The sequence below is a fragment of the Homo sapiens genome, chromosome 7, assembly GCF_000001405.40.
Source record: "Homo sapiens chromosome 7, GRCh38.p14 Primary Assembly".
NCBI lineage: Eukaryota > Metazoa > Chordata > Mammalia > Primates > Hominidae > Homo > Homo sapiens.
In genome coordinates this window covers 48,280,644-48,303,614 of record NC_000007.14, presented here as the reverse complement: position 1 = coordinate 48,303,614, position 22,971 = coordinate 48,280,644, and the positions used below count along the sequence as shown (strand labels likewise).

The window sequence follows — 22,971 nt, the reverse complement described above, 5'->3', positions numbered from 1 at the left end:
CAAAAACAAGCAATAGGGAAAGATTCCCTATTCAATAAATGGTGCTGAGATAACTGGCTAGCCATGTGCAGAAGATTGAAACTGGGCTTCTTCCTTATGCTATACAAAAATCAACTCAAGATGGGTTAAAGATTTAAATGTAAAACCCAAAACTATAAAAACCCTGGAAGACAACCTAGGTAATACTATTCTGGACATAGGAATGGGCAAAGACTTCATGATGAAGATGCCAGAAGCAAACTCAAGAAAAGCAAAAATTGAAAAATGGGACCTAATTAAACTAAAAAGCTTACGCACAGCAAAAGAAACTATCAACAGAGTATACAGACAATCTACAGAACGGGAGGTTTTGCAAAATATGCATCTGACAAAGGTCTAATATCCAGTATCTATAAAGAACTTAAAAAAAATTTACAAGAAAAAAACAAACAACCTCATTAAAAAGTGGGCAAAGGACATGAACAGACACTTTTCAGAAGAAAACATACATGCAGCCAACAAGCATATGAAAAAAATCTCAATATTACTGATCATTAGAGACATGCAAATCAAAACCACAATGAGATGCCATCTCACACCAATTAGAATGATTATTACTAAAAAGTCAAAAAAGTAACCGATTCTGATGAGGTTGCAGAGAAAAGGGAACATTTATACACTCCTGGTGAGAATGTAAATTAGTTCAACCATTGTGGAAACCAGTGTGGCGATTCCTCACAGAACTAGAAAGAGAACTACCATTTGACCCATTACTGGCTGTATACCCAAAGGAATATAAATCATTCTACCATGAGGATACCTACACATGTATGTTCATTGCAGCACTATTCACAATAGCAAGGACATGAAACCAACCTAAATGCCCATCAAGGGCAAACTGGACAAAGAAAATATGGTACATATACACCATGGAATACTATGCAGCCATAAAAAGAACAAGGTCATGTCCTTTGGAGGGACATGGATGGAGCTGGAGGCCATTATCGTCAGCAAATGAACACAGGAACAGAAAATGAAATACTGCAAATTCTCACATATAAGTTGGAGCTAAATAATGAGAACACATGGCTACAAAGAGGGGAACAAAGCACACTGGGGCCTATTTGAGGGTGGAGGTTGGAAGGAGGGAGAGAATCAGAAAAAATAACTATTGGATACTAGGCTTAATACCTGGGTGATGAAATAATCTGTACTACAAACCCCCTGACACGAGTTTACCTATATAACAAACCAGCATATGCACCCCTAAGCCTAAAATAAAAGTTTAATTTTTAAAAATAAAAAGGAAAAAATATTTTGCCAAAATTAGCAAGAAGCATTTTTGCAGAGATCAATGCCAATTGGGGAATTAAGGTTTAAAAATATTTACATAAGTGCAAGTAGGAGAAGAGGAAACCCATCGGCAAGCAGTAATTTTCTTAGAACTATTAATTTGTAACAAATTGAAGCAATAACATCATGTGATGGAAGAATAACACAGTTCAAGTTCAAAGACGTGGGTTTGATTTCAGGCCCTCTCCCAGCTGTGACTTCCACAGCATCACATTCATCTGTGAAAGAAGAGAAATGCCCTGCTCAGAGGGAGTTAAATGAGACACAAATGCCCTTAGCACAATACTCATTTCTCAGAATTCCTAATGAGCAAATAAGGTAACGTGGCTTTCATAAACCTAAGAAACGCTAGCTGACTTAATGGAAGGAGAGTAGCTGGAATTTCACTTTATTTTAGTGAATGTTTAATGAGAACCTACCACATTTACTGAGAATACTCTGGTAGGACAACAAATCAAACAAATCAAAGAGAAAAGCCCTACTCTAAGAACACCAGAGAATGAGATGGTGGTGGATGGGTGTGTGCACTTCATTCTGTGAATCCTGGATTACAAGGACCACAAACCCCAATCTCCTGATGTGGTGACAGAGCCAGACAAGCAGTCTAAGGCCTAGGAAGGACTTTCTCTAGAATGAGACTCTGCACATGACAGATGGTGTCTTCCAGGAAACTTCAGGCCAAACTTCTCATGATCCCAGAAACCCATAACTCTAGTCACACATTAATTACTTTTTGTCTTCAGAGAAAGAAAAAAAAAAAAGAATGAGCAAATTTTGACCAGTGTCTGCTCTGAAATGAGTTTCACCAAGAACTATCTGTTGGAGCTTTCCAGGAAACAAACTTCATGTATTAAAACAAGTGGAATGTGTAATGTTTCCAAACTCCTAAAAGGAATCTCTCCCTCTCCATAAATTATGCCCAGCAGCTCTGTTAATGTCGCAACCGACAGAACCAGCCCCCAGGACCGGCCCCAAGTGAGATAAGGAAATTTGACCAGATTCACCAAACTCAATCATTTCTGCTCAAAAGAAACAGAAAGAAAAAAAATTCAGAATACCTTTCCATTTGAAGGAGCCTCCCAGAAGAGATTGGAACTTTCAGGGAATGCCCTCTCCCTTCCTCCTTAAGATTTGTGGCGCGGGGAGAATGAATCCACTGAGGACTGTGAAAAAATATTCATCTTCCAAGCAAAAGTCCTCTGAACTCTGCCTAATTGTTTACCACAGAAAATAAAGGGACAGAGGGCCGACTTTTGATTGCTCTCTCAATCTATTTGGGTCCTGACACTTTGGCCTCATTGCTAATTTTAAAAGAATAAAAATTTGGCCCAACACAAAGAAGGAAGTCATTGTTGATTTGAACATGTGCCTAAAACATAGGAACACAGCATGAAGTGGATGGGTGCTTCACAGGGCAGGTGGACAGGATGCAAACCCAGGACAGAAGGCTGGGCTAGATGGGCTCCAGTGTCCAGGAAGCCCCTGTGATTTGTGGTTTTAATTGGGTGATGCTGATATTAGAGAATAGAGCTCTGCAAGAAAAAGGAAATTCCCATGGGTGGGTGCCCATGGCAGGTTCTCTGCAGCCAGGGAAGAGGGCAGGAAAGAAAAATGAGATGGTATCCATGCATCTGCTGCATTTGCCTCCTTCTGCTCACTCCTGTCTCTGGTCTTTTGACAGAAATGCCCCAGCTCTGTGACTCTCATATAGCTCTTCATATGCAGATCATCATTCCAGTCTGACATCCATCTTCACCGATTCAGGGAGGCTTCCAGGGACCACCTGTCCTCATTGTTGTGTTCTATTTGCATGATAGAACTTTCTGGTCTCTTAACACTGACCTTCTTTTGTTTGCATATTTACTGTGTCATCCCCCACAGAACATTGGCTCCCTTGGAGCACGGGCTTTGAGCCCAAGTTTTTGGGACCATGCCTGTCATGCAGAAACCTCCTAAGTGAATAAAGGAAGAAATGAATGAATGAAGATTTCTGCAATTTTGCCAGGGCTTTAGCACCACTGAAGAGTATTCCCTGCATGCCACCAACAGCCTGGACTAAGAATCTGATGTGATTATTTGCAAACTGACTAAAGCTATGGTAGAGAAACCCAGGAAGAAAGATAAGAAAAGGATACTAGAAATAATATGGTGCTGCTAAAAACCTGACAATCTAGAAAAAACAAGTATCCAAAGTGTCACCTCCTAACCTAATGTTAATTCCTTGCCTAGGATCTGTAGATACATGTGCATTTATGGATATACTTAACCATCAAAGCAAATAATCTCATTACTTATTTGAAACGCAAGAATGCAACTTTTTAAATACTCCTCCCAATTACTTAACTGTCCAGCTGTTTAGGCGATCATAATGATTCATACTGACAAAGAGGTAGAGAAAGATACACAGAGTGCAAAAAAAGCACTACAGAACCATCTACACAAGACAATACCACATTACCACAGGAGCCTTCTCTGTGCACAGCCCTCCCATAATAGAACAGCAGTGACACCCAGTGGCCACTTGTTTCATCAGGCAGTGGTCATCAAAAACAGTTGAGCCCAAACCCAAAAAGTATCATAAAACTGAATTTGAAAGGGACCCCAGAAGTTAGCTAATCTGACCCTGGTCTTAAAACATTCCCAGGTAGCTGCTCCGATTACTCCTTCCACTGCTTCTTTCCCCTATTACTCGTTTCAATAACTAAAGATTTTAAACCAAAAATCTTCATTGTTTCTCTATAAGGCATCATGCGAGGTAGGGAAGAGACAATTTCAGCACTGCCCCCTGCTTTCCTTGGCTCTTGCATGTTTAATAAGCTGAATTTGACATTTTTCCTTGAAGATAAATACTAAGTGCCTTATTATAAGTAACTTGGTGACACTGTCATTTGAATTTTGGTTTCCCAGCTTCTAATCTCTTTTTAATTTAGATTAATTCTTCATTAGTCCACCCGTCAAGCTTGCAATAAGCCCCAATTAACCAGAATTGACATGATATTAAACGTGTGTTGGGGCCCAGTTGATGGTCAATTGCAACGTTCACTTACGAGTCAGCTCCACGGTTACTACTTCTGGAAGGTTCTCTGTACAGGAAGATAAAACCCCAACTAGAAGTGCTGAAAGCTGTCTCAGAAAATCTCCTGCTAAGGATCCAGGTGATATCTGCTGTGGAAAACATGAGATGTCCCCGTTCCCCTTTTCCACAGAGAAACCATACCCCATGTGGCCCGTATGTGTTACTCATCCCTTGGTTTGTTGCAGTAGCTCTTTGATTGTTTTATCACATTTTTCAGCTTGGAGATGACACAGCCTGCCATTACTCATTTGCGTTCACAGTGATTCACTACGGTAGCACATAGTCAGACTGTGCCCAGTCACTCTCCACTCAGAGGAAGTCATAGTTGATTCTTAAGATATTTTTAGCTGTTTTTGGTTTTGGGTATTTTAAGAATTTTGCAACACCTGCTGAATCAAGCCGAGACCCTTCCCAGGTGTCATGCATCAGGGCTGGAAATCAACAGAATAAATAATCACCAACTTTGTTCTAACTCCAAATAAAGAAAATATTATGGAATTAAAAACCCTAAGATTTTGGCATGGGACAATGACACCCTTTGGTTCCTTGCTTGTTCTCTTGTTTCCTTTCTGCCTCCAATTATATCATTTGTGCAGCAACCCACTACACTAGCCAAAGGAGAGGAAGGCAAGAAGGAAGAAAGGACAACACAGTGCCAGTGACTTCAGGCTAAGGCTCCTTCCATGAGCAAAACAGACAGACAAGAAACAGCACCACACCTTGGAGTGGGAAATATTTGCTTCTAGAATGCTATGGATAGTCTCATTCGAGATTTGGATGGAAGAGCGAAGCTCCTCAGTCAACTTGGTGATATTCTTCATCAAATCTTTTATTTTTACATCTGCAAAGTAAGGAAAATAAGAAATTTGTGTAATAAAGGTTTAGATCATTACTGACTGCGAAAACAAAATTTGATATTACAACCTGGCTAGGATAGTTTCTTTCACACCATTCAACCCATAAATCACTAAATAAAGTCATACCTTACTCCCCTGGGAATAACTTAAATAATTTATATGACAATAAACCAAAATGCCAGGTTCTGTGGTATTTTCTGGTTACTGGTCTACTCTCTCTAAGGCCTGTATGTTTTAAGAACATTTACTTTAGAAAGAGTTTCTTCTGGCTGGGTGTGGTGGCTCACACCTGTAATCCCAGCACTTTGGGAGGCCGAGGTGGGCAGATCAAAGGTCAGGAGTTCGAGACCAGCCTGACCAACATGGTGAAACCCTGTCTCTACTAAAAATACAAAAAAAAAAAAAAAAATAGCCGGGCATGGTGGCACATCCCTGTAATCCCAGCTACTCAGGAGGCTGAGGCAGGAGAATCGCTTGAACCCAGGAGGCGGAGGTTGCAGTGAGCCGAGATCACGCCACTGTACTCCAGCTGGGTGACAGAGTGAGACACAAAAAAAAAAAAAGAAAGAAAGAAAGAAAGAGCTTCTTCTTAGGGAGCAGTGACCAAGTGCTATAAGAAACTCACTTGTATACATGCATCTACTCATCTCACTTTTTTAAGAAGAGAGGGATCATTTAAGTATTTGCCAGAATTCTTCAGACATGGCATGTTAATGCTACAAGAAGCTTCATGAGTTGACAGAGTGAACAGCCAAGGAAACAGAGACACACAGACATCAATTGCTTGTCCGAGGAGGCAAGGCCAGAGCAAAATCCAGACCACAGAAGCTTCTCTTTGTTCCTCTGCTTCAACATGGTACCCTAGGATTTCAGGACTTTCTTTATAAATGCCAAATACATCATACCAGCCAAGTTGTAAATGATTATGTATCACATATAGCATAAATTTTCTGTTGTATGTTTTATTTTAATAATATATTTGCATGAGAAACTAAATTTAATTTTTAATCAAGCAAACTTGGAAAACCACATACTTACCCTCAGTTACTGTGAAATTGCTGAGAAAAGTCATGATGGGATTCCCTGATGACCAAGTTTCCTCGAGGCTTTTGGCCAACCTAAAATGGCAGAAAATTAAAGCTAAATTAGGCAAGCTAAAACATCAGAAACAGTGTTGGAATGAATAATACTGCCTCAGCTCCCAAGAGATGGACTGGATAACAAGATCACATTTCCATAAAGTTCCTGCAACAATTAGACCCACATGTCTCCCAATACCATCTGTATGTGAATATCCATTAATACTACCCACACTCCAGTATTTCTTTCTCAGAGCTCCTGCCAACCGAGATGAACCAGGGGAATGAGGATGCATAATAAATGGCTTTTCACAACTGTGAAGAGAATAGATAGGATAGATCATGGAACGTACGAGAAATTAGGATAGCCAGGGTCAGATGAACATCATTCTTTCAGTGAAAAAGTCACTTGCAGAATTTAAAGTTCCTTATTTCCCCTTCTGGTGCTTTACACTTTCAGAACACTAAGCAAAATTGATCAAACATGAAGGTAATTTGAAAAATATTTGCGACCGGGTGCGGTGGCTCAGCCTGTAATCCCAGCACTTTGGGAGGCCGAAGGGGGCGGATCATGAGGTCAGGAGATGGAGACCATCCTGGCTAACACGGTGAAACCCCATCTCTATTAAAATAAAAAAACAAAATTAGCCGGGCATGGTGGCGGGTGCCTGTAGTCCCAGCTACTCAGGAGGCTGAGGAGGGAGAATGGCGTGAACCCGGGAGGTGGAGCTTGCAGTGAGCCGAGATCGCGCCACTGCACTCCAGCCTGGGCAACAGAGCGAGACTCCATCTCAAAAAAAAAAAAAGAGAAAAGAAAAGAAAAATATTTGCTGTTCAAACAGAAATTTATTCATTTATTTATTTAATTTATGAGACAGGCCCTTTATCTGTCAGCCAGGCTGGAGTGCAGTAGCACAATCACTGCTCACTGCAGCCTTGAACTCCTGGGGTCAAGCAACCCTCCTGCCTCAGCCTCCTATGTGGTTGGGACCATAAATGCACAGCACCAAATCCTGCTAATTTTTTTGTTGTTGCTTTTATTTTTTAGAGACAGGGTCTTGCTATGTTGCCCAGGTTGGTCTCAAATTCCTAGCCTCAAGCGATTCTCCCACATCAGCCTCCCATTAGAGGGGATTACAGGCATTTGCCACCAAGCGTTGTGGATTACATTCTTATATCTAATATCTTTATCGCCAATAAAGTTAGCCTTCTGATTAATGCTGCTGTTACATTTTACCACTCAAAAATTGTCATGGAAAACTTTGATGTTTGGAAAATATATATTAATATGCACATTAAGAGTATATTATACAGACCACTGTCTGAAATTCACATTTTAAAGAGTCCTAGACATCCTCTCTATGAATGGAAGTACTGGGGAGGGCATGAAAGAATATCAGAGCATACATGTACAAGTGCTGCTGCACCGTCTCCAGCCTCGGCTGGCTTGTGCAGTCCTGGCCAGTGGCATTTTCCAAGCTGCTCTTGAAGCTCTCCAAGGTGCTAGAAAGATTCTTGCTAAGACTTTCACAATTTAGCTGATTCGGCGAGGACCATATCTTTTCAATTTCCTAGAAAACATAGCAATGATATAGGTTAGAAGCACACATACTTATCTGTAAGATTTTGATTTATTCTCATTAGTCTCAGGAAACACAGAGAACAATCATGTCAGTTGCTTCTGTGCATTGCAGAGTAGTAGAAAGAGCCCTTGGCTGTGGAAATACAGAAGCCCAGATTTTACTCCTGGCTCCGCTGTTAGCCAGCCAAGCAAGACAGCTTGTTCTTGAACACACAGCAGAGAACACGCAATTCTCCACCAAATCGCCTGGCTCTTAACTTCCTGAAGCTCTGTTCCTAGGAACACACACAATTCAATAGCAGAAAAACAAATAACTCAATTTAAAAAATGGTCAAAGAACCTGAACAGACACTTATCCAAAGAAGACATCAAAATGGCAAACAGGTAAAAGAAAAGGTGCTCAATTTCACTAATCATCAGGAAAATGCAAATCAACCACAATGAGCTATTACCTCATACCTGTTAGGATGGCTGTTATCAAAAAGACAAGAAATAACGAGTGTTGGTAAGGGTGTGCAGGATAGGGAAACCTTGTGCCCTGTTGGTGGAAATGCAAATTGGTACAGCCATTATGGAAAACAGTATGAAGATTCCTCAAAATATTAAAAATGGAACTACCATATGATCCAGAAATCCCACTTCTGGGTATAAAGCCAAAGGAAATGAAATTATGTCCCAAAGAGATATTTACATTATTCACAAAAGCCAAGATATAGAATCAGCCAAAATGTTTCTAAAGAGATGAATGAATAGAGAAAATGTGACATTATATACAATAAAATATTATTCAGCTGTAAAAAGAAGGAAATTATGCCACTGGCAGCAACATGGATGAACCCAGAAGATATGCTAAGTGATGTAAGTCAGCCACAAAAAGAAAACTATTACAGGATCTCATTTACATGTAGAGTCAAACTTTTTAAAAGTCAAACCCATAGAAACGGGCCGGGCGCGGTGGCTCACGCCTGTAATCCCAGCACTTTGGGAGGCCGAGGCGGGTGGATCATGAGGTCAGGAGATCGAGACCATCCTGGCTAACAAGGTGAAACCCCGTCTCTACTAAAAATACAAAAAATTAGCCGGGCGCGGTGGCGGGCGCCTGTAGTCCCAGCTACTCGGGAGGCTGAGGCAGGAGAATGGCGTGAACCCGGGAAGCGGAGCTTGCAGTGAGCCGAGATTGCGCCACTGCAGTCCGCAGTCTGGCCTGGGCGACAGAGCGAGACTCCGTCTCAAAAAAAAAACAAAACAAAAAAAAAAAAAAAACCCATAGAAACAAAGCATAGGGTGGTGGTTACCAGGGATGAACTTGGGAGGAATGAAGATGTTGGTCAAGGGGTATAAAGTTGCAGTTATGTAGAATGAACACATCTAGAGAATTAATATACAGCATGAGAATTATAGTTGCCAATATTGTATTACATACTGGAAATCTGCTAAGAAAGTAGATTTTAGGTACTGTTAACACACACGCACGACACACAAAGATAACTCTGAGATGACAGATATGCTCATTTGTTTGTAGTAATCATTTCACTTTGTATGTTTATCAAAACATCATGTTGTACACTTCAAATATATATTATTAAAAAATAAATATGAAAATGAAAAAAAAATTAAAGAAACTTGAGGCTTTTCAAAATTCACAGCCACAAACACAATGATTAGAAAGAAATCATATGTGGCTATTCCTATGTGAGGTGGATAAAACCGGGATTTGCCGTGCTCTGAAGGTCAGCAGTACAGCCTGAGAGGCTCCTGTTCTGTCCACTGCAGGTGGAGAGGCTCCTAAGACTCTGGGGAACATCTGGAAAGACTCCAGAAGTAGGTCCCCACTCTCCACATCTCTAACCCCCACCTCTAAGATTTCATGGACATCTTATCCGTATCTTCCTAGAAACAATCAGTTTTTTAAACAACCAATCATTTTGCCAAAAAAAAACCTTTTAGAATAATACCTATTAATTGACAAAATGCAAAACACCATATGTGGAATTAAATGACAAATATAGGTAACATAATATTTAAAATAACCCAGAAAACACCACAAACATATAACATCTATGTCTATAAACATACACATGAATCTATACACTTTCCCTAGTCACAGCTATTCTACCATAAATACTTTATTTTACATCATCAGAATTTATTTGCTTCATCACATTTTATTTATATCAACATATTCTTACTGATATTGGAAGCATAGTTCCAGGTTGCACCAATTATGGGAAGGTATCATATGTAGGTCAACACTTAGATAATATTTCTGTCGAAGTAAAACTTTGAATATTTTTTTCAAAACCACTGTCAATTTCTCTTGCAAAGGAAAATCATGAATCATTCAAGTGGCCAGAGGAAGCTCACAAATATATGTTCCAAGGAAATGTGAAGACTGCTGAAAAGTCAAGGTTGGGAGCTAAGCTCTGGAGGCCGCCCCAAGATGGAGCCCCCCAGCAGAGCTGAGGTAGATTTAGTGTGTGTGTGGCGGGGGGGGGGCTGAAGACTTCTCAGGAAATGATGAACGTTAATCCATGATCAGAGCACTCATGCCACTGTCACCACCGCCTCAACCAAACCACAAAATCTCACTGTGGGGGGAACTAAACCAGCCAATAGATTATTACAAAGCATGCAACTTCTTGACTCTAATTCATCTATTATTGTCATTCATTTTATAAGTTTCTTTTCTTCCCAAGTGATTTGGGAGTGGAACTTGAACAGAAATCCTATAGGACTGTTCATTCATTCATTCAAAAAATACTTATGGAGCACCTGCCAAGTGCCAGGCCCAGGCTAGGTGCCGGACTGAGAGCTATGAACACAGGAGACAAAACTCCTACCTCCATGAGGTTCACAACCCAGTGCAGGAACACTACCAGCAGACAGCTGTAGGGGCAAACTGGTCAGCATGTCACAGGTGACCTGGAGGAAAATAAGGCAGGGGTGGGGGCAGTGCTGGAGGTGCAAGAGGAAGGTGTACAACCCTCCTTATCATCATTAGGGAAGCACACTGCAGGTGCGGGAGCAGCAAGTGCAAAGGCCCTGAGGTGGGTGCAAAGGAGCCAGCGAGGTGGAGAAGAGAGTGCCGGGGAGGGCAGAAGGAGAGATATGCCACCCAGACAGCAGGACCTAGCAGTGGCCTCCCTTAGAAATCGGACACCTATTCCAAATAAGACTGGAAGACGCTGGACACTCTCAGCAAAGGAGTAACACCATCTGATGATGTTTTGGAAGGGTCACTCTGGCTACCGCATTAGGGATCGAGGCAAGGGGAGAAGGAAGGGAGAGCTGGCTCATATCTGAAAGGTGCTGGTGGAGGTGGTAGAACATGGCCAGATCAGGGAAACATTTGGAAGGTAGAAGGGAGAGTTTTCTAACTGAAAAAAATAAGAAGAACAAAGACTAAACAAGCATGCCAAGGTTGTTGTCCCTGGCATCTGAGGGAAAGAACACCAGGGGTGGGAAAAATTACATGGAAAGATGAAGAGGTTTTTTTTCAGATGAGTAAAGTTGAGGGGCCTGCTTGACATCTGAGTGGGAATGCAGCTGAACACATGAGCATGAAGGTCAGGGGAGGTGTTGGCTGGAGAAGGAAATTTGGAAGTTGTCAGGAAGTAATTGGGATTTTTAGGTTGCAAATGAATCTGCATAAGATTCCCTAGCATGTGAGCACAGACTGAGAACAGAAAGGGTCTGGAGACAGCCTGGGTCCTTCTGCCACATAGAGGAGCCAGGTGTGGAATTGGAGACAGTCGGTCAAGGATGCAAGAGGAGCCCAGGGAAAGTGCCGGGAGCTGAGTGACGTGGGGATGGGCGTGGCTGAGTCTGTGTCAATGCCGGGCTCAGAAGCCGGAGGTGAGGAGTGAGATTCCGCATGTGAAGGTTGACGGACTGAGCAGGTGGAGTGGTGTCTGCTGTCTATGTTAGCCGCACCAGGCCAATCTGGTTCGACTTTTACGTAACAAAGTTGTGAGTAGTTTTTCAGTTGCCATGGACCCTCAGGTCACATAACCCGGGCATGCCTGGATGAACTAGTGTGCAACCACAGGGGGAGCTGGAGTGCTCGGACTGAGGAGCAGGGATTGAATTAAGAAGCGGACATTGCATGGCAGGATCCAGGATCCAACTGGATTGAGCTCTGGCATCACCCATGGCAGGACCCAGTCAATCAGATCCACATTACATGACGTTTATAAAACCTAACCCGTCCCCAGCTCAGAGGCACTACTTTGGGAACCATCCCTGGTGTTCTCCTTACTTAAATCTCATTGTTAAATCCTCCTTGGTTGTGGTCATTGGGTTGATACCCACCAAGCAACTGAACCCCTGCATTGTGTGAGTAACACCTGAAGGGGTCTGACAAGGAGTGCTCAGCTCAAGCCCGTCTCCATTTTCTAACGTGTGACAGGGCTCAAGGGTACAGACTTCTTTCCTTTCTTCACTTAGGTTTCCGCTGACTGCTCTACCAGAAGAGACACAGCCTCCTCCAGCCTTCACCCACCCACTGCCCCTAATGTGCACAGACCCCATTTATTGTCTGATGTCTGAATGTCACCACAGCAAAGCAGAAAGAAAAAGGATGGTAGCAAACTCAGGAAGAGCATCTGCAAGGCAGAGAGATGTCTAGGTCCAGCCTCAAGACTCCAAGCTACATGCACATTTCTAATAACATGCACAGAAGCCCTTGGACTTTCACACTCTGCTTTTTTCTTCTTTTCTCTTTTTTTTTTTTTTTTTTTTTTTTTTTTCCCTGAGTGTGAAGCTCTCTAAACCTTCTCCAATTCTCTCACCCAGGCATTTCAGGCTCGGTATTCTCCTTGCTCCAAAGAGATCCCTTTTTGTAGCATATCAATGCAGAAATACAACTAGGTCAGAACAATAGATACAGGTGAGTATCCCCTTAGGGGCCAACTCACTCCTGAGAACATAGATTGAATTAAACCTACTGCATGAGGGCTCTGCCATGGAGTATTCCCTTATAGCAAAGAACCTCTAGTTTGTAATTTGTAACTGCATGCAAATTAATTTTCATTCAATGCATTTATAATATTCCTGCTATGGATGTTATTCTTAAATTTAATAAAATAATAATTTTGACATAGAGGGGATTATAAAGTAGAAAAGTGCACATTCTACCCCAGTAGCAAGGACTACCGGAAGAAAAATTCCAAGTTTCTTCAGCACAGGTGTACCAGGCTCCAGGTAAGCAGAGGCATCTAGGCCAAAGTTGAGATTGAAATTCATCAGGCTATACTTTTGGGATCAGGTAAAACCACCACGTGGAAAAGGCAGCACCTATCAGACTCTCCTTCTCCGGCTACATCAGGCCTAGAATCAAGAAATGCTGGATAAGTGTATACAGGTGGACCCAAAGGTCTAGATCTAGAGAGGCAGTAGGAAGCCCCCACCCAACCTGAAGTTCCAGCTGCATTCTCCAACTCAGCTTAGCCCAGGAAATACAGTGGGCACTTGCTGTCATTTTTGAAGTTTAATTTCTGCCCCATTCATTTCCTTATTGCTACTTTCTACTATTTGGAACAAAGGGTGGAAGAGGGTAAGGAGTTGACAGCCCCAAACTTTTGTCATATCGATTCAATCAGCTGAAACTTTCTCTCTAAATGGGAATTCCATGTTGCTACTGAGAAAACTATATTTAAAATATTTATTTAGATACTGAAAACTAGCAAATGGCATTGTGCTTTTTGCCCATCTCTGTTGGCGACTTCATATCCCACAGCCTGAAAAAGATTTGTATTTCTAAAAGTCTCACATACTTGAAGCCCTTGAACCACAGACCCATCTTAAAAGCTTTGCATCCTGAGATAAGCAACATACTATTTTTGTCATTAAAGACAGGAACTTCTGCTCTTTATCAAAACTAACCCAACTGTTACCAGCCAGACTTGTTGACAATCATATAACAATTTGAACTATAAATACAGTCTTTGAGTCAGTTGCTCTGAAAGCTGGAGTCTCTTGACTATTTTATTATTATAACCTTCACTCATCACTAAAAAATTGTCTGTGAGGGGCCGGGCGAGGTGGCTCATGCCTGTAATCCCAGCACTTTGGGAGGTCGAGGTGGGCAGATCACGAGATCAGGAGTTCAAGACCAGCCTGGCCAACATAGTGAAACCCCACCTCTACCAAGAAATACAAAAAATTAGCCAGGCGTGCTGGCTGGCACCTGTAATCCCAGCTACTCAAGAGGCTGAGGCAGAAGAATCACTTGAACCCGGGAGGCAGAGGTTGCAGTGAGCCGAGATTGCACCATTGCACTCCAGCCCAGGCAACAGTGCAAGACTCCGTTTCAAAAAAAAAAAAAAAAATTGTCTGTGGGGCTTTTTTTTTTCCTGTATCCACATTTAATACCTGACAAAGATCTGCACAACCTGGAAATAAGAATTTGATGTTCTAAAAAAATCAATGTAAATTTGGGGTTGTAAAGTCAATCATTGCTAGGGACTGCTCAGGGCTTCCTGCTGACAGGCACCACTCCTCCAAAGGCCACAAGACATTGATTAGAGATCAGCAGCTCTCACTCCCTCCTGACACTTCACCAAGGCATGGCATTCGACACCCTTGCCATGCTGTGGGAGTCTGGCATGGCTATCTCTCATCTCTCTCGGCATCATCTATTTCTCTGCTTTCTGTGATAATCTCATACTCACAGATAATATGGATCACAAAAGCAAGAAACAACATTCAGAACCAGAACTAGAAGAGAGACAGGTCTTCACTGCATTGTTGGAAGGACATCACCATTGTCCAAGCTTGTCAGGGGGATCAGGCCTACCTAGGGGCCCAGGGGTCTTTAATTCTAGGACAAAGGAGTGGGGCCCAAATAAGAGACACATTGTCTGATTCAGCTATAGTTGGAGACCCTGCATGGGAGCCTATTGGGCATGTGTCCAATTTAATAAAAAGGAAATTGCTATGCTGGTTCCCATTCAGCCATCAATTTTTGGTACTAGCCAGTGTATTCAATGAGTTAGAGCCAGTGTTGGGCTGGTAAATATTTAAAAACTAACTCTCCAGAAAAAAAAAATTCTGATTTGGAGCACTTGCCAATTTCCATGGTGCAAAAGCTCCTGCATGGCCCAGTTCATGCTGCCACCATAACGTCATTAAACGTAGAGAAGGGAAGAACTGCACTTAGCACAAGACTACATAGTATTTCCATCATGTGGATACAACAAAAGCAAATCATCTCAGGAAGAGAGATAACAGTAAAACATACTAAAATAATTAGGAAGTGATGAATCTTGAGTAATTATTACTTGTGTTTCTAACATGATTTATTTCATCATAAGTTTATATAATTTATTTATAATGATGACATCTATGTTTAACAACCAGCTTGCAAAATTCCTGAAAATTTAACAATCCGATCTCTCAACTCAGTGCCACTCAACCCAGCACACCACTGGGAGAGGCCAAGAGGGAGGAAGGGTGAGCAGTCATTCTGCAAGCCCAGCTTGCAACAAGACTGTGTATGACACCATTGCTGTAGTTATAAGAACGAAGCAGCAAGTTTGAATAACTGGACTGCCTTGCAAGGGCCAATAGTCATGAACATGAAATTCTCTGAAATATTAAAGACGACAAACCTGGAAGTGGTCCTGCGCCAAAGTGACCCCTTGTATAGCAGATAAAATGAGATGCCTTATCCCATTTTGCTTGCAACTCAGAGTAGCACACAAAATGTCCTTGGTCCAGGAAGGGTTTTCTGCCAGAGGAAACACACAGAGAAATAATTAATAGACAGTCCTCTCCTGAACTAGCCACTCTCACAAAATCACTTTTTAAAGATTCAAAGTGATACAAATTCCTAAACATTTCTTAAATCATCAAGATGAACATTCAGATGATGAGGGTAAAGCTGTGCCTTTTGAGTTCCAAATGTAATAAAATAAAGATTTTGCTTTTCTGGGCCTAATTGATTTTGTAAATATTAATTATCTCTACCTCCTCAAACTGGCTCCTTTCCCTGTATCCCCTACAAGTGGGGTACCCATTCACCCCAGTTTGCCCAGGACAGACTTGCTTTTCACCTATTCTTGCATGGTTATGAACAGTGCCCTCTGTCATTCTCAAAAGTGCCCCAGTTTGAAGGATGAATTACACACTGTCTATGTGTGGTCTTCTCCATGCCCCATGCCTCACAAGTCACTTCCTGGAAGCCAGTCATGACTCTCCTCCCCCTGGTCCTCACAGCCAACCAACCTCCCCATCTGCTCAGCATGACCTCCCAATGTCTCTCCATCTGTGCGTCTGTCCAGCACCCATAGATCACGCCCAGGAAACTGCTGTGCTCTTAACAGTCCCACTCCCACCTCACCCTTCCAATCTGCCTTACGCTCTGATCCACAAGGCTCTTCCCCAAAGGAGATCCCCCATTACAGGAATCTGTGCAAAGGCTCCATGTTGCATCCAATGTCTTTCCGCAGCCTCAGGTGCCTCCACCTCTCTGCAGTCATGCCCTATGTCCCTCCTGTCTCCTCAAGGCCATCAGATACAAGGCATCACTCTCCCTTCCTGAACCTACGTATCTTTTAGAGTTCTGCCTCCAGACACCCACCTTTCCCAGGCTGAGCAAAGCCCCTCCCCTCCCTGCTGCGCAGATGCCTGTGTGCTCACCTCCCACCGCACGATAAATCCATCTGCACAAGACCTGCCACGGGCAAATTTTCTTATCACTGCCTTCCTGTCATTGTGGCACCTAGCACAGGGCTTTGTACCTCCTAGATGCTTGGTCATGACAGAAAATAAAATACATTTTTATAAGAAATAAAATCTTTTTTTAATTAGAAAAAAAAATGTTATCCTGACTCTTAAATTATGAATAATAAATTGTTTCTCAAAAGTCCTTTATAAAAAGTTCTGAGCCAGGCACGGTGGCTCACGCCTGTAATCCCAGCACTTTGGGAGGCCGTGTTGGGCAGATCACGAGGTCAGGAGATCGAGACCATCCTGGCCAATGTGGTAAAACCCCGTCTCTACTAAAAATACAAAAATTAACCGGGCATGGTGGCGGGCACCTGTAATCCCAGCTACTCAGGAGGCTGAGGCATGAGAATTGCTTGAACCCAGGAGGTAGAGGTTGCAATGAGCTGAGGTCGCACCACTGCACTCCAGCCTGGGCGACAGAGCGAGACTCTGTCTGAAAAAAGGAAGGAAGGAAGGAAGGAAGGAAGGAAGGGAAAAAACAGTTCCAGCATATTACTAAGTGAAAGAAGCCCATCTGAAAAGGCTACATATTGTATGATTTCAACTCAATGACGTGCTGGAAAAGACAAAAACTATGGAGACAGTAAAAAGATCCGTGGTTGCTAGGGGCTAGAGGGGTGGGAGAGATGAATGGGCAGAGCACAGAGGATTTTTCAGGCAGTAAAACCCTGTGTGTGATACTGTAACACTGGATGTATGTCATTATATGCTTGTCCTAACCCATAGAATGACAACACCAAGAGTGAAGCCCAATGTGAACTGTGGACTCGGAATGATGCTGTGTCAGTGTGGGTTCATCAATTGTAACAAATGTGCCACTCTGATAATGAGGGAGGCTATGGTGGGGAAGGGAGTATATGGGAAATCCCTGCACCTTCCATTCAAGGTTGCTGCGAATCTAAAACTACTCTAAAATATAAAATTTATTAATTACTAAAACAGTTTTCAACCACATAAAATGCAGAGTAGACACAATATATCCAAAGTCATGCTTTCCAGAAGCAACCCACCTTGATGCCTTATTTGTTTTTCTTTTCTCATTAATCTTATTTTACTAATTTCAAAGACAGGTATCTTTATTGTAGGAAATATAAAATGTGTCACTTAAGTAATCTCTTATTAAAATTTGAAATGAAGGTAATAATGTGCTGTTATATATCACAGCACTTATCTTTAAGCATAAACATATCCTCTGGTCTCGGGAAGACACAATAATGTGTTTATAAGTTATGTTGTTCAAACCTAAAAGAGCAGAGAATGCACCCTGAAAAAGCTGATGTAATGTATGGCATCAGGCAAGCTGTGGGCTGTGTCAGCCCCTTGCTTCCTCAATGTAAAATGACAACGTGGAGTCGACAGTGACCAAGCCCAGCATTCCTGCAAGGTTAGGTCAGGGATGATATGATCATGGGATGCAGTGCTGGGCTGTCAGGCCATCTGGCCTCCATGTGCCTCACATCTAACACGTCTTGAAGCCTGCCCTCAAAGGCACCACCCTCAAGGACACTTGACAACTGTCTCGACACTAACAAGAGCTGGTTTTGAGCCTTGACTCCTCCAACTTTCCCGGGTACCCTCTTTCTCCACCTCTCATTGCCTCTCCCAATCCCTGGCTCCAGCCCTTCCTACTTGCTGTGGCCCCTCTTCTTGGCTCCAAGGACACATTCAGACCCACTCTGGCTTTCCAGATCTGCCAGCGCTCTCTGGACCCCTTTCCTCTCCTCCCTTCAGCCCCATGGACCCTCTCAGGTCTCTTCAACTGGAAATGGGCTCTGACTGCTTCACTCTGAAACCCTGGGAAACTCACTCTCACTCTCTGGGCCTCAATTCGTCAATTAGGGAAACTGGAAGATTAAAGTAGCTGCCCACTGAGGCTCCTTCCGTTGCATGAGCTCTCCTGCATTGTCCTTGGCATCTTTAAAGCACTAGATCAGGAGAAGGAAAGTTGTCACTTTCCTCCTGGAGATACTGAACTCAACTCTGTGATATGACGAAAATATAGTGCATTTTCAGCAACAATAATAATAACAGATCTTATTCTTGTTCCCTTTATATGATGGGAGAGGAGGGGCTATTTGCCCACATTGGTCAATTCCACCCCATCCCTTTAACTTTATGGGATCTGTCACTGCCCTCCTATTCTACAGGATGGAGTAACAATTCAATAAGGACAGTGGGGTGGCAGTTTAAATGTTAGTTATGCTTGAGTTTCCTTGAAATAAAATATAAAAATTAAAAATTAATTATCTGTTACTAATGTAATCTCAAGTATGCTATATTAATTTAGCAGCTGCAATACAGAATGGCAAAATAAATATAAATTCATACATTAATGAATGTTTAATTCATTTAAAAACCATTATATTAGCTGACTGTGAAATGTCCAGATAATTGTGTCTTCAAACGTGGCTGAATTCAATATGGAAGATAAGCATTCAAGAACGAGGAAGAAGTTTGATTTGAATTTTACCTGAGCACACTTCCAAATGCTGAAATCATGTACCAACCATCCTAACTTGTACTTAGATTGTAACACTTTACTGATTTCTATTTGACAACAGAAAGCAATATTCCTAATCACCAATGTTCATAACATCTAATTGGAAATACAGATTATCTTAAAAGAAAAAAAAACATGCAAAACCCCTACACAGCAGTTGGGGTTTCATTTTTAAATCAAGCTTGTCCCACTTCTCCCTCTGTTTCTTACTCCTTTTCCATGTTTCTTAGACCCAATGACCAATCAATTCTTCTGTTCAAACAACCATTTGTATTACAAAAAAAGGGATGAGTGAGCAGATTAGAACTAACCCTGTGATAGACAGTCCCTAAATTACCAGTTTTTACTTATGAACTAGCCCTCTAAGCTGAGAAGTAGTTTTCCCAATGGCATGCAGGGAGATGCATCTTCAACTTGCAGGACAGGGCAACTAGCATGTTCAAGGCATCTCCTTAGGATAAGCCCCTTGGAGGTGACTCATTTTATTTAATCCTCTCACATAGGTTGAAATAGGTGTTCCCCTATGTTTTCTTCAAGGCTCACAGAGATTCAGAAGCTACCCTGTGTCACTCAGCATGAATCAAGGAACTCAGCCTGTTCAATCTCAAAGCGCCTGCTTCTTCCATTACAGCACTTCTCACGACATCACTTGTTTTAACAGTCATGTTTGACTCTGCCCTCAAAGATATTTGGGGCAATAAAGCCTTACCAGTCATGAAGGTGTATAATCCTGAGTGCCCCATCGTGACAGTAAGGAGGCAGCCTTACAGACCACGAGTCCCAGCACACTAGTCTGAAGCCCATCAGTGATTGTGTAGATTAACTCAAGCAGTCACAAGTGCCCAACCTAGTGCCAGCCCTCATGCATTGACCTATCCAATCCTTCTACACATATTGATTGAATGCCTATCATGCCTATGTCAGTATGTTTCCTAAACCCTGGGAAGATATAACCATGAGCATGGCAGACACACATCCTCACTACGCAAGTCTCACCTGAAATGTCCTCACCCTGAACTGCACCCTCAAGGTCTTCTCCTCTCCTCCACCCCTCACTCTCACCCTCATGGCCATACTTTAGCTTCTTTCTAGCACTTATCAATACAAAGAAAAATTTATCTTTTTTGTTTTGAAAAATGGATTTGACATGCTGGTTCTGCCCAAGGCTCATTTCTCCTCCATACCGCTCCCCAGTAGATGCTGGTCCATACTCCTGGCTCACAGACTCAGTGGCCCACACCCACCAATTAGCCATCCTGGGGCCGGTAACCCTTCCTCTTCTGATAGTGGATGTTGGGAATACGTCCACTGTGCCCCTTCCTGGGTAAACCAGACTCCTCTCTACAACATCCTCCCCAGGCCCCCACAGTTTGCTCAGTCGTACAAAATAGGCCCAGAACATGCCAACAGCCCACCCACTACTTCTCGCTGCTGAGCACTCCCCCATGAACAGATTTCACATTTGGTAATTCCAGTGAAACATGACGTAAGTATAGAAGAGCTTCTGGCACTTATTCATTCATTCAACAAATGTCAATCAACATTTCCCATGTTCTAATCCCCATGTGCCAGGTTTGTAGTGATCAATAGACAGGCACAGTCTCTGGGTTCTCACAACTGTAGAAGAGACACATGTTCATCATCAGAATAGCACACGGTGGTAAGAGCCATAACAAGGAGCTAAGGCCATGTGACCCCAGACAGGGTAGGTGAAGAAAAGCTTTCCAGAGGAAATAACACGTAATCTACAAATCATAATATAACAACCTGATAGTAATCGAAATAATAATAATGATCCAGGAGTAAATCAAGGAAAGGCAGAAGAATGAACATGTGGATCAGATGAGCTAGGGGGCAGGGAGTCCGGGGCCAGGATATGGAGTAAGCCCTACTCAGATGACCCCTCACTTTTTTCTTTCCCTCTTGATCTGATCGGATCCACCCTTGGCTTCCCCATTTCTCCTCGCCTCCCCTCCTCTTCTGGGCTTCGATTCATGTTGTCAAAACCCACTGCCATCAGCTAAGACAGGGTACTCAGGCCCAGTAGCCCACTGAGGGGGCTCTGGGCAGCCCTGCTCAGGAGACTGGGCCAGAGGATGGCAGCACCTCTGTGCACCTGTGAATTACTTAAACAACTGTGGTCCATTCCATGGACTCAAGTGTGCTCTAAAGTCTAATGTTCACATTTTCAGAAAAGCCCTAAGATCATCTAGTTACCCTCTAAAGCAGCTCGTGGGACTCTCCTTCAGCAGTGGCATTGAAAGGAGATTGCACTGAAATGTGCAGGAATGGATTTGGCAAGTATCATCTTAGCAGATGAATTAATTCATTTACAATATAGTCACTATTGCTGGACACTATGCTGAGTATTATGGAGACACAGAATTTAGCAAGAGACTGATCCTGTTCCCAGTAAGCTTACAGACTGCAGCAGGAAAAGAAGACACCAAAAACTATAATACCAGCAATAAGTGCCACGGCTGTAGGGAATTCAGGTTACTGCAGGGACTACTCAGCACCCATCAGGAAATGCACACAGAAGGTTATGACACAGTTTCTATCTTCAAAAAATATTGACTGTAGCAGAGGGAGGAAATGTAAGAAAGAAGAAAGTACGATACTGCACGTGATCAAAGTCTCCTCAAGGTCTTTGCCAGTAAAGGAGATGGGGGAACACTTCTGGACAAGACACCCCCAGCTCTAGGCCACAGAGTACGGCTGTAGTTTAGGTCAAGAAGACAAGGGAAGCACATTCCATGAGCAAAGACAGAGACCAGAAAACCCAGCAAAGGCGCAGGAACGGGCCGTTCAATTTGGCTGGAGTAGAGGCCCAGTGGTGGGAATGAGGTTGGGAGGGGCAGATCCCTCAAGGCCTGGTTGCCAGACTAAGACAGCTGTGCTTTGTTCTAAAAGAAACTCAAGTGCAATATACTCATCTCTCTGACACCTGAGTTCTGAAAACTGGCACAGGGCAATTGCAGAGCACTTGTTATATGAGCAGCCCACCTGCAACGATGGTGAGCACACGTACGACCATCATCTTCACTTTCTGCAGCATCTCCATGGCTTCTGAGGGCTTCACAGTCTGCTGGAAAACTTCACAAATCTCAACAACACTTAGCAAAAAAATATATACAATGACATAAAAGGGTAAAAATGTGCAACCCATGTGCATCTCTACTGTGTAGGTTAAGTTATAACACACATGTAAGAACCATCCTCCCTCCCTGCATAATCATATTTTCTTCATAGGAACATAAGAAAACACAGATAACACATTCTGGACCTTTAGAAAACTTTAGGTCTCCAGAATTATTTCAAAGCATCAATTTTGTGGCCAATAAGCTTAATACTTGCTTTTCTTTCTTCTTTTGTTCTATTCTTTTGAAATGCAAAGGTAAATGTTGAAAAGGTGTCAAAACATGATGGTATGAAGAGCTAAGGTATAAACTCCCTCTGTGGAGAACTGAAAAATTTGAGATAAAACCTGAGATTGGTGGAGAATGGGGTTGCCAGGACCACCTCAGCTCAAAAGACAATTCAGAGAAGAGCACTAAAGTCAAACAAAATATAGTTTGACATCAGAAGCAAGGAGGAGATGAAGAAGGAAGCTCTGAAAACTAGCAGTCAAATTCCTAGGTAGCAATAGTTATTTGTGCCAGTGGCTACCTGTTTCACCAACTAAAGACATCTTTCCAACTCATAGAACATGACTGGATTCAAGGTACATCTCTGGAGTAATAGAACCAACAGAAAATAAGTCAGCCTGCCTGGCAAATGAACCAGGGTTGACATGGCATCTCCAATCTCCATGT

At 42.5% G+C, this 22,971-nt stretch overlaps 1 protein-coding gene across 29 annotated transcripts in view, besides 2 other annotated features; it reads right to left on the bottom strand.

The window, feature by feature from the left end:
• The window catches only part of ABCA13 (ATP binding cassette subfamily A member 13), a 476,040-nt gene that overhangs the window by 343,883 nt on the left and 109,186 nt on the right, over positions 1 to 22,971 (bottom strand). For all 29 annotated transcript variants that reach the window (XR_926914.3, XR_926915.3, XR_926919.3 and 26 more), the window contains 5 exons: positions 22,163 to 22,272; positions 15,537 to 15,655; positions 7,752 to 7,915; positions 6,304 to 6,383; positions 5,128 to 5,249 (listed from right to left, as the gene is read on the bottom strand). Coding sequence is in view for 26 of the 29 variants with exons in the window: in XM_011515130.3 (XP_011513432.1) it covers positions 5,128 to 5,249; positions 6,304 to 6,383; positions 7,752 to 7,915; positions 15,537 to 15,655; positions 22,163 to 22,272 (595 nt within the window). In the remaining 3 variants the exon portion in view is untranslated. The remainder of the gene's footprint in view (positions 1 to 5,127; positions 5,250 to 6,303; positions 6,384 to 7,751; positions 7,916 to 15,536; positions 15,656 to 22,162; positions 22,273 to 22,971) is intronic.
• Positions 3,734 to 3,793: a silencer, noted in NCBI's record as "silent region_18174". NCBI's record gives its function as "represses an Ori minimal core promoter by ATAC-STARR-seq in GM12878 lymphoblastoid cells {active_cell/tissue: GM12878}" and the evidence as "EXISTENCE:reporter gene assay evidence [ECO:0000049][PMID:35858748]".
• Positions 4,141 to 5,340: an enhancer, noted in NCBI's record as "P300/CBP strongly-dependent group 1 enhancer chr7:48337872-48339071 (GRCh37/hg19 assembly coordinates)". NCBI's record gives its function as "activates an origin of replication core promoter dependent on BRD2, BRD4, P300/CBP, MED14 and CDK7 cofactors, with strong dependence on P300/CBP, by STARR-seq in HCT116 cells {active_cell/tissue: HCT116}" and the evidence as "EXISTENCE:reporter gene assay evidence [ECO:0000049][PMID:35650434]".